Source organism: Homo sapiens, chromosome 3 (genome assembly GCF_000001405.40).
Source record: "Homo sapiens chromosome 3, GRCh38.p14 Primary Assembly".
In the NCBI taxonomy this organism is placed as follows: Eukaryota; Metazoa; Chordata; class Mammalia; order Primates; family Hominidae; genus Homo; species Homo sapiens.
Window position 1 is genome coordinate 101308246 of NC_000003.12, and position 12330 is coordinate 101320575.

At 34.7% G+C, this 12330-nt stretch overlaps 1 protein-coding gene across 1 annotated transcript in view; it reads right to left on the reverse strand.

Moving 5' to 3' along the window:
- The window catches only part of IMPG2 (interphotoreceptor matrix proteoglycan 2), a 98030-nt gene extending 85700 nt beyond the window's left edge, over positions 1-12330 (reverse strand). The window contains exons 1-2 of the mRNA NM_016247.4: positions 12043-12330; positions 11339-11587 (exon numbers count right to left, since the gene is read on the reverse strand). Of these exons, the coding sequence (NP_057331.2) occupies positions 11339-11587; positions 12043-12127 (334 nt within the window). The 5' untranslated portion in view covers positions 12128-12330. The remainder of the gene's footprint in view (positions 1-11338; positions 11588-12042) is intronic.

Genomic DNA, 12330 nt, shown 5'->3' on the forward strand with positions numbered 1-12330 from the left:
GCTCCACTAGTCAGTGCCCCAGTGGGGACTCTGTGTGGGGCCCCAACCCCACATTTCCCTTCCACACTGCCCTAGCAGATGTTCCCCATGAGGGCTCCACCCCTGCAAAAAACTTCTGCCTGGACATCCAGACATTTCACTACATCCTCTGAAATTTAGGTGAAGGTTCTCATACCTCAATTCTTGACTTCTGTGCACCTGCAGGCCCAACACCACATGTAAGCTGCCAAGGCCTGGGGCTTGCACCCTCTGAAGCAACAGCTTGAGCATTATGTTGGCCCCTTTTAGCCATGGCTGGCACACAGGGCACCAACTCCAGAAACTGCATAAAGCAGCAAGGCCCTGGGCCTGGCCATTTTTTCTTTCTAGGCCTCTGGGCCTGTTATGAGAGGGGCTGCTGTGAAGACCTCTGACATGCCCTGAAGACATTTTCCCCATTGTCTTGGTGATTAACATTTGGCTTATTACTACTTATGCAAATTTCTGCAACCAGCTTGAATTTCTTCTCAGAAAATGGGTTTTCTTTTCTATCACATTGTCAGGCTGCAAATTTTCTAAACTTTTATGCTGTGCTTCCCTTTTAAACATAACTTTCAATTCCAAACCATATCCTTGTGAATATATAAATCTGAACACTTTTAACAGCACCCAAGTCACCTCTTGAATGCTTTGCAGCTTAGAAATTTCTTCCATCAGATACCCTAAATCATCTCTCTCAAGTTCAAAATTCCACAGATCTCTAGGGCAGGGACAAAATGCCACCAGTCTGTTTGCTAAGACATAGTGAGTCACCTTTATTCCAGTTCCCACAAGATCCTCATCTCCATGTGAGACCTCCTCAGCCTGGACTTCATTGTCCATATCACTATCAGCATTTTGGTCAAAAACATTCAACAAGTATCTAGGAAGTTCTGAACTTTCCCACATCTTCCTGTCTTCTTCGGGGCCCTCCAAACCTTTCCAACCTCTGCCTGTTACCCAGTTCCAAAGTTGCTTCCACATTTTTGGGTATCTTTACAGCAATGCCCTACTCCTTGGTACCAATTTGCTGTATTAGTCCATTCTCATGCTGCTGTGGAGAAATATCCAAGACTGAAGAGTTTATAAAGGAAAGAGATTTAAATTATTCACAGTTCTGCATGGCTGGGGAGGCCTCAGGAAACTTACAATCATGGTGGAAGGGGGAGCAAACACATCCTTCTTCACATGGCATCGGGATAGAGAAGTGCTCTCTCTCAAGTTCAAAATTCCACAAAATTCCACTTAAACGTGGGAAAGCCCCTTATTAAGCCACAGATCTCATGAGAACTTGCTCACTATCATAAGAACAGCATGGGGGAACCACCCCCCATGATCTAATCTCCCCCCATGAGGTCCCACACCCGACATATGGGGATTATAACTCAGGATGAAATTTTGGGTGGGGACACAGCCAAACCATATCACCTATGACCCAGCAATTTCCTCCTAGGTATTCCTGTAAGCATATATCCACAGAAAGATTTATGTTCAATGCCAGAGCAACTTTATTCATAATAACTTAAAAATGAAAACAACCCAAGTATCCATCAATAGAAAAATAAACAAATGGCCATATAATGGAATCAAAAGGAAATTACTAATTCATGCAACAACATGGATGAATCTCAATGGGCTGAGTGAAAGAAGCATTACACAAAAGAGCACATACTATTCTATTTATATAAAGTCCTAGGAAAGTGAAAATAATCTATGAGTTTAAAAATGGTTCAAAGAGTGGTCACATACTAGAATGGGAAGTATCTGGGAAGGAGTATAAGAGAACTTTCTGGGGTGATAATACCCTAAAACTTAAGAGAGGTTGGGGTTAGTGTGTATTAGTCAAAAGTCACCAAGTAGTACATATAAGATTTATGCATTTCACTCTGTAAATTTCACCTTTAAGAAAGTAAACAAATATTGAGCTCTAGTTAATGATACTCATACTGAAATATCTAGAGGGAATTGCACTGATGTCTTCAACTTATGAAATACATTTAAAGGATTAGATGGTTAAGCTAGGCATGGTGGCTCACACCTGTAATCCCAGCACTTTGGGAGGCCAAAGTAGGCAGATCACTCGAGCCCAGGAGTTCAAGATTAGCCTGGGCAACGATATCTTGTCTCTACGAAAATTACAAAGAAATTAGCCGGGCATGGTGGCACGTGCCTATAGTTCCAGCTACTCCGGAGGCTGAGGTGGGAGGATCATCTGAACCCAGGGAGATCGAGTACGCAGTGAGGTGTAATCACACCACTGCACCTCAGCCTGGGTGACAAAGTGAGACCCTGTCTCAAAAAAAAAAAAAAAAAAAAAAAAAAAAAAGATGGTTACAGAGATAGACACATAATAAAGCAAACATAATAAAATGTTAACTGTAGAACTAAGCTGTGAGAATATGAGTGTTTACGACATCATTCTTTCACTTTTCTGTTTAAAATGTTTTCATAAAATCTTAGAAAAACATTATTGTGTGCCGAAGAAATGTAGTTGGAAGGAATATGGGAGAGCTTCCAGAAGTGATATAAATCACCAGGCTTCATAGCAGACCTCCCCTTGACCTCACTCCTAGCTTCACAGAATAGCACAAGCTGTCTCCTATAAATTATGCTTTGGGCAATGTTTCCCCACCTCCTATAAAAAGCTCTCTCAGTAGTTCAATGCTTTGTCTAAAATACTCCATAGAAATTCATTCTTTTAAGTTACATTTAACCCTTTTATACCTTGTAGTCTATTCAAATTCAATTGCCAGAGTCCCATTTCCAGCATGAAGAGTGAGGGGCTACACAGATCCACCCCCAAGAGAAATGGGCAAAAATCATTTTGAAAACAATCATTTAAAGCTCTGGAAATGGTCCTAGGGGCACATGACTAATGAAGAAACATTTGCTTAGGAAAATCTACTACAACTAGGTAAAAAAAAAAAAAAGTGAAAATCAGTGGTTCTAACCAGGGCAATTGGGCAAGAAAAGGAAATAAAAGGCAGCCAAATTGGAAAAGATGTAAAACTACATCTGTCTACAGATGACATGAGCTTGTATCTAGGAAAGCCTAACCTAAGGAATCCACTTTAAAACTATTTGAACTAATAAACAAGTTCAGCAGGGTTGCAGGATATAAAACTGATATACAAAAATCAGTTGTATGCCTGTATGATAGCAATGAACAATCAAAAAATGAACATAAGAAAACAAGTATGTATGCAAAAGCATCAAAAAGATTAAAATGCTTAGGAATAAACCTAAGTCTCCCAAAATGCAAAACATACTCTGAGAACCAAAAAATTATTTTAAAAAATAAAGACCTAAATAAATGGAAAAACGTCCCATATTTATAGACTGGAACATTTAACACTGTTGAGATGGCATTATCTCCAAACTGATTTACACATTCAATGCAATGTTATCAGAATACATGCTGACTTCTTTGTAGAAACTGACAACCTTACTATAAAATTTATGTGGAATTGCAAGGGACCTAGAATAGCCAAAGTAATCTTTAAAAACAACAAAGATGGTGAATTCATGCCTAATTTCAAAACATACTAAAAGCAAAGACTACAGAACTGGCACATGAATAGACATATAAATCAATGGAATACAATTGAGAGTCCAGAAATAAATCATGTGTCATGGTCAAGTGATTTTCAGCAAGAGTGCTAATATCACTCAGTGGAAAAGAATAGCCTTTTCGACAAATGGTGCTTGGAGAACTGGATAGCCACATGCAAACTAATAAATTTAGATCCTTACATCATATACAAAAAAAAATCAACTCAAAATAGATGAAAAACTTAAACGTACACACCAAAACTATAAAACTCTTAGAAAGAAATACAGGAATAAATCTTTATGACCTCAGGTTCAGCAATGGATTCTTAGTTATGACACCAAAGGCTCAAAAAAATAGATAAATTGGACTTCATCAAAATAAAAAACTTTTGTGCATGAAAGATACCATCAAGAAAGTGAAAAACAACCTACAGAATGGGATAAAATATTTTCAAATCATTTATCTGATAAGGGATTTATAGCCAGAATAAATAAATTACAGCTCAATAATAAAAAGACAAATAACATAATTTAAAAATGGGCAAAGTTCTGAACAGACATTTTCAAAGGAAGATATACAAATGATAAATAAGCATATGAAAAGTTGAACGTTATTAATCATTAGGGAAATGTAAATCAAAATCACAATGAGACATCATTTCAAACCTATAAGAATGGTTATACTTTTTTTAAAAAAAAGGAAAACATTGCTGGCAAAGATATGACTAAATCAGAACCCCCATACACTGCTGGTGGGATATAACACAGTACAATCACTTTGGAAATTAGTCTGGCAGTTCCTCATGTAGTTATAAAGTTACTATATGACCCAGAAATTCTACTCCTAGATAAATACCTAAGAGAAATGCAAACAATGTAAATGCCCATTGACTGACAAATGTGATCTATCCATACACTAAAATATTATTGGACCATAAAAAGGAATAAAGTACTGATACATGTACAACATGGATGAACTTTGAAAATAATATGCAAAGTGAAAGAAGCCAGTCACAAAAGACCATATATTATACGATCTTATTTTATGATATATCCAGAATACACAATTCTGTAAAGACAGAAAGTAGATTAGCGTTTACTTAGGCCTGGGAAGAGGGGGAAGGGAGATAAAAGGATAAAAGGATGATAGCTAAAGGGTCACATGTTTCTTTTTGAGGTGATAAAAATGTTCTTAAACTGACTGTGGTGATTTGGTATATCTGTGAATATACTAAAAAGCCACTTAATTTTGTAGTATGAATGGGTAAATTGTATCAAACTTGAATTACATCCCAATAAAAGCTGTAAAAAATGCAATTCCCTCTGGAAAGGGAATGCATGCTTAATCCAATGGCTTTTCAATTAGGAGCTATCTGACAAGAAGGTTCAACTAACTAACTTGGAATAACAGGATTCAGAATGGTTACATGTTCTGAAGCATTTGCACAGCTCAGAAAGGAGAAACCTAGATAGGACACTGTAGGCAGAAGAGAGAAGAGCAAAATCAGCATGACCTCCAGGCAAAGAGGTACTAAGGAAGGTAAAATTCCATCACTGATAAATACTGCATACTTCACTACTTGGCCTGTAACTAAACAGTTCAGAATTCCCATCCTTGTCAAATAAGGATATTATAGCCTTTGGTAACTTCTGAAGAGAGCTTTCTATTTTGAGAAGATGTACAAATGGGCTCTCTTCTAGCAGAAATAACCTGCCCTGGAAACTAGTGGTGGAAGGGAAAAATGTTATAATATTCTGAAGAAAATGCCAGCATTTAACCTGTCTTTAATCCTTCTACTAGATCTCCAGCTGTGTCTTATCTAAAACTTAGGAATCCAGAAATCCAGCATGGAATTATCTTTTTTTAGTGTAATATATTTTCCTTTCAGAATTGTGGAGCCCAAAGCATATGGAATAGTCCATTTTGGTGCAATAAGGCAAGAAAAAGAAATATAAGGCATAGAAATTGTTAAGTAGTATAACCATATTTGTAGATGAAATAATTATCTATGTAGAAAGCCCTAAGGAATATACCCAAAAAAGCTACTAGAACTGGTAAGTGAGTTCAGCAAAGTTGCAGGATAAAAGGCCAATATACAAAAATCAGTTGTATTTCTATATACTAGCAAGGAATAATCAGAAATTACATTTTTTAAAATATCACTAATAATAGATGAAAAAATGTGAAATCCTTATAAATAAATCTGATAAAAGATATGCAAGATCCATACACTAAACATTGGTTATATGTTCCTTCCATTCAATCAATAACATTGTCATTTATTTGGGATCTACAATGGCCCTAGAACTCTTAGCCAAATTCACTAAAACCTTTAAATATATTTTATATTATTATTATTCCCATTTCAAGGGTGAGGAAACTAAGATTTTAACAAATTGAATAATATTCCTAAAAACAAACAGCCAATAAACTTGTATCTCAGACTCAGATTTGCATAGCCCTGTGGCTCAAATATTGCATGGGACATACGTACACTAAAAAGATTATTTGTTGTCTATTTGAAATTGAAATTTAACTGGGTGTCCTGCATTTTTATATGCTAAATCTGGTAACCATATATATCAGTCAAGTATGGGCTGTGGATGGCTTCACTCCCTAGGACTCTAAACTTGTATAGTAAGTTTTAAACAAATGAAACTATACCCAGCGTTTGGGTCCTGAAACCTTCCATGGGCTGTTTCCCACTCTGATTCATTGGAAAATGCCAACTCATTCTTCGAAATCCAGGTTAACTAACTTCTATCACCCCAGGCATGGATGGCCATTCCCACTTGTGTCCTTCCCACATATACACTTTGTACAAACCTTTACTATTGCACACTCTACAGTGTTTTAATTATTGTGGTTAATACTATACCTGGTAGAATCAGTATAAATAAGATTTCATGTGTAAATTAACAAATGAATAAATGAATGAATAAAAATCAGAAAACATTCCTGAAAGAAACTGAAGATGACCTAAATAAATGGAGGGATATATCATGTTCATAGATCAGAAGACTCAATATAGGTTGAACATCCCTAATCCAAAAATCCAAAATGCTCCAAAATATGAAACTTTTTGAGTGCCAGCATGATACCACAAGTAGCAAATTCCACACCTGACCTCTTTTGATGGGTGACAGTCAAAATGCAGGCTCACTAGACAAGAGTACCCAAGGGAAAAAAGACTCTCCCAGCTCCCTTCAGCTGTGTTATATCTTTTCTGCCCATGTCCAGATTACTCCACCAAGCATACCTACAAGGGGTCATAAAATGGCACCCATGCAGACCAGACACACGAACAACAGTAATAAATAAAGTATGTTGTACAATAACCTTTAATCGAAACACAGAATTGTAGAAAGAAACTAGAAGCCTGCCATTGTTTGTTGTTACTGTTGTTTAACAGCTGAGGCAGGTATTCTGGTGATGCCACTGTTCTGTTTAGTACCCTGAACACATTCTTCTTCACTGTACTAACAGTATAGCATATTTTTTACTGTGAAGTACTGATATGTAAGTAAGTGTAAGAAAATTATTGTTTTTTTGTAGAATGTAAATTCAGAGTCAGGGACGATGATGATGCCAAACAACTACAGACTGTCCACGTGGGTGCCTGAAATAGTGACACCTTTGCTTTCTGATGGTTAAATGTACAAAAACTTATTTCGTGCACAAAATTATCAAAAATATGGTATAAAATTACTTCAGATAAGTGTATAAGGTGTATACGAAACATAACTGAATTCTGTGTATAGATTTCAGTCTCATTCTCAAGATATCTCATGTCTATGCAAATATTCACAAATCCAGGAAAATCTGAAACCCACAACACTTCTGGTCCCAAGCATTTTGGATAAGAAATAGTCAATCTGTATTAAGATGGCAATTCTCCCCAAACTGATCTATAGAATGAAACACAATCCAAATCAAAATTTCAGCAGCCCTTTTGTAAAAATTGGTAAGCTGATTCTAATATTTATATGGAATATAAAAGACTGCATAACCAAACAAATTTGAAAAAAAAACAGAGGTTGGAGGACTTGACTATCTGATTCAAGACCTATAATAAAGCTTACAGTAAATAAGACACTATGGTATTGGCATAAAAATAGACAAATAAGTGGAACAGAATGAAGAGGGCAGAAATAGATCCACCATATATAAACACTGATTTTCAACAAAGGTGCAAAGCCAAGAAAGGATAATCTTTTTTTAACAAATGGTATTGGAACAATTAGCTATGCATATAAAAATATTAACTTTGATCCATATGTCATAATCAAAAATTAAAGAAGATTACAGTTTTAAGTCTAGAACCTAAAAACTGTAAAAATTCTACAGGAAAAGACTGAGAAAGAAAAAACTTTGTGATCTTGGGTTAGCAAACTAAGATCAAAAACTAAAAGGATGCTCCCCCAAAAAGCCTGATAAATTTGACTTTATCAAATGTTAAAACTTCTGCTCCTTAAAATACATCATCAAGAAAATAGAAAAGGCAAGCTACAGATTGCAAGAAAAATGTATGCAAAATATATGTTTGACAAAGAACTTAAATTTAGAACACATTAAGAACTATTACAACTCAATAATAGACAAGCAACCCATTTTTTAATGGGCAAAATATTCAAATAGACTCCTCACTAAAAAAAGATATATAAATGACAGATAATTATGTAAAAAAAATGCTCAAAATTGTTAGTCATAAGTGGTTAGGAAAATGCAAATTAATACCACAATAAGATATACATCCACTGGAATGGCTAAAGTTAAAAAAGACCAACTATACCAAGTGTTGAGAGGATGTGAAGAAAACGGAATCCTACTACACTGTTGGTGATACAGTCATATTGGAAAACTTGACAATTTACTGGAAAGTTAAACGTATACCTATCACGTGACCCAGACGTTCCACTATTATTACTCAATAGAAATGAAAATATGTTCACAGAAAAACTTGTACCCAAATGACCATAATTTCTTTTCTTGTAATCAGTAATAACTAAAAACAACCCAAATATCCCATATTGTGGTATATCCGTAATATAGAATACTACCCAACAATAAAAGCTAACAAACTATTGATACACAAAACACATGCATAAATTTCAAAATAATTACACTGAGTAAAAGAAACCAGACCAAAAAAAGAGTATATACCAAAGAGTATATTCCATTTATATATAAAAGTATAGAAAATGCAAACTAATACATAGCGATAGAAAGCAAATTCATGGTTGCCTCAGTATTGGGGTAAGGAGAGGTAGTGAGGGAGGTGGGCATTATAAATGGTCATGAAGAAATGTTTAAGAGTGATTGATAGGTTTATTATCTTAACTATAATGATGGTTTCAAGGGTAAATTCGTCAAAACTAATGAAATGGTATACTTTAAATATATGCAGGCTGTATTTCATTAAAATATACCTCAATAAAGCTATATTTTAAAAAGTCCAACAACGAATATTTTTTTTAAAAAAGAGAGGGGCATCCTAGTATGCTGTTTAATTTTACAAAACATTAGGTTAAATATAGTTGTGTCTTGCTTAGAAACACTTTTCAAATTTGTTACAACAACTAGCAATTGATACCAAATTCTCTATGAAGGAAAAATTGAGCAAACCATTAGACTGAATTAGCTTGGTAGAAAGAGCTAAGATCCTTAATTGGATATTGAATAACTCCCTCCCTCTAAATTGCAAACATTTGGTGTTAAGGGCATAATACAAATTATCTCTTCAAAATCAAGCAAGACCTATGTTAAAATACTCATTTCTGTCAATTTTTAAAAACAAATGAAATATTTATTCTTTACCATGACCATAACAGCTATCTCAGCTATAATCTTGATGTGGTGTGCCAACCATCTTAGCTGTATGAGATCCCTTTTCAAGGATCCTATTCATAGCATCTGTATTTTAAAATCAATTATTCTAGGAATGCTTTATGTTCATTTTTGTCAGCTTCTTTTTCAACAGTATCTCTTGAATTTATAAAAACAAGAGCAAAGCAATCAAAAGGTATGACCAAATCCCTTACATGATTGGTTATTTCCTCTTCACTATTTAATCAGTTCCCAAAATACCAAGATATTCTTATTTTAAAATAATATAAAGTACGGTGAGACCCCATCTCTACCAAAAACACAAAAAAACAAAACAAAAAAAACTAGCTGGGCATGGTGGCATGTGCCTGTAATCCCAGCTACTTGGGAGGCTAAGGCAGGAGAATCACTTGAACCCAGGAGGTGGAGGGTGCAGTGAGCCGAGATCATGCCACTGCACTCCAGCCTGGGCGACAGAATGTGAGTATGTCCCAAAAAATAGTAATAAATAATAATAATAATAATAATAATAATAATAATAATAATATAAAGTAAAAATCCAGGTGGTAGAAATCGAATCTTGATAAATTATTAACTGTCATCCTCATTCACCTTCAGTTCCTTTATTCTCTTCCCACTGTCTTTGGAATTTTCCATTTCTGGCATATGGCCTATACTCAAAATGCCAGGTCTGTGGATCTCCATTTAAAAAGTAAAAGGAAAGCTTATTGCATAGTAATATTTGATAGCTCCCAAATACAATCAAGAAATAGAAATACACTCATAACAAAGAGCTGCCAATATACATTGTACTACTTTAACAAAAATATCAAATATATAAATATGTGTAATAGCTGGTATTATATTAAATTTTTATTGTGTTTTTAAAACTTTGATGAGAAGGGAAGAAGGGAAGGACAGGAAGAGGAAAAGAAGATAAAGTAGCAGCTCAGACAGAAGGTTCATATAATCCAGTGCCTGGAAAATTCGGGCTCAATAAACATTTGTTGAATGAATTAATGAATAAATGCATGAATTTAAAAGCCTCATTTTACAATCACTTCATCATCTAATTTCACCTTGTTTACTAACATCACATCCATATTATGGCTTTTTATTGGTTCTTGAGCAGTAAAAAGCAAAGTTTGGGAATCCTTCAAATGTCTAAGGGACATACTAAGGTCAATTAAGCAATTTAGTAAATATATGAGAAACAGAATTGACTTACATAAAAAGTATGAGATCAAGAATACTGTTTAAAGACAAAATAAAATGTGAGATTTTGAGAAATGCCATCATTTTAGATGTGAAAATTTTATGTGTACCAACTAGAGAGCAACCTGTGTGAATCTGCAGAATATCTAAACTATAAAATATAGAAACATTATATTTGTATATATAATAACTATTAATAAATAGGCAAGCAGGTGAGTATACTTTGGTAAAGCTATTTTGTGGGTATACTTAGGCATTTACTGTAATGAAGAAGTAAAAATTAAAATTAATGTAGCCCAAAACATAAACTGGTATTTTTGAAGTGCTTAAAAAGATTTAAGACATTTCCTCTCTGAATATGTTGTTGAAATTAATGAAAGACATCTTATTGTGACTGCCCTCATGTGAAAAAAGTTTCTTACATAACGCACCAAAAGCTACAAACTCAAATCATGAAAGCGTTCTTCCTTTGGTTCAAAGTGCATGTCATTATTAAATGATATTATTGCCTTAACTGGAGGGCACTGGAAAAAAAACAAACCTCCTCTCTTAATGTAAACTGTTCTCTGAAGTTACCATTAACACTATATTCTTAGCAGTAGAAAGGTAGTTTTGGCTCAGTCCTGTCTAAATTATCGTAAATTTTGATTTACAATGTTACCTAACAAATGATTAAACTATGTTTGAATTTCATTATGGAGCTGAAGGATTTGGATGTTCGCTTACCTCGGACTTTAAAATACTTCACATGATTTGCCACAGCCTCTGCAACACTTTCATCTGGGCAGATTTTCACTCCATTAGGAAACAGAATAGATCTCCGCCTTCTGATTAACCACTGTCTTTCAGTTTCTCTGCGGTCCAGAGGCTGTTTCTTTTTGGTAGCTAGAGAAAGGTCTGTTGATTCTTCAGGCAGGAGAAAAGAAACTGCACTCTTGGGTTCTTGGATCTCCTCTATAGATAAGTAGGTTTGTGCTACAGAGTGAAAGTATAGTCAAGTCTTCGATAATGAAGATACAGTACAAAAGGTAACAACTAAAGAAAAACTGACACTTGGGCTACATTAAGATAGAGAAGCCAGTGCCCAAATCATAGGCAGGCATGCATATCTAAGGAAAAGAGGAGTGAGGCAGTCCATCTTTTTCCATTTAACTCCCACTCCTTTCATTCAAGATTGTTATCAAAATCAAGTAAATACACATCCAATTTCAACAAAATAAATAAAAGTAAGGTTTAAACCAGAAATTACTAATGAGGGAAAACCAAAATTATTGGAGATATTTTAAAACGGTTTAAATGAAGCCATATCAAAGATTAATAAAGTAGTATTTGATTCCATTTCTTACAGCAATCACATCAAATAATCCTATTTTTGAAGAACATATACTACAGATATGGAAAGATAAAAACAAATGTAGATTTTTAAATACCTGTTAATGATGGAAAGTCTCCTTCTATCAGGACAAATATCAAAATACCCAGAGAAATCTTCCCAAAAAGAGGAAACATAATCATTTGGGCCAAAACCAAAGGAATGAGGAGAGGACAGAATCCTTAATTGAGTGTCCAAATCCTTGAAACTTCCAATAACAAAGAGTTATAGGAAAGACCTAACATTTAAAAGTCTATGTTTGAGAATGAACAACCACTTCAAAACCATTATAAATTAGCGGAAAGAAAAATGGTTGTCCTTTCAAAGTAGCTCTCACTTCTTTTCT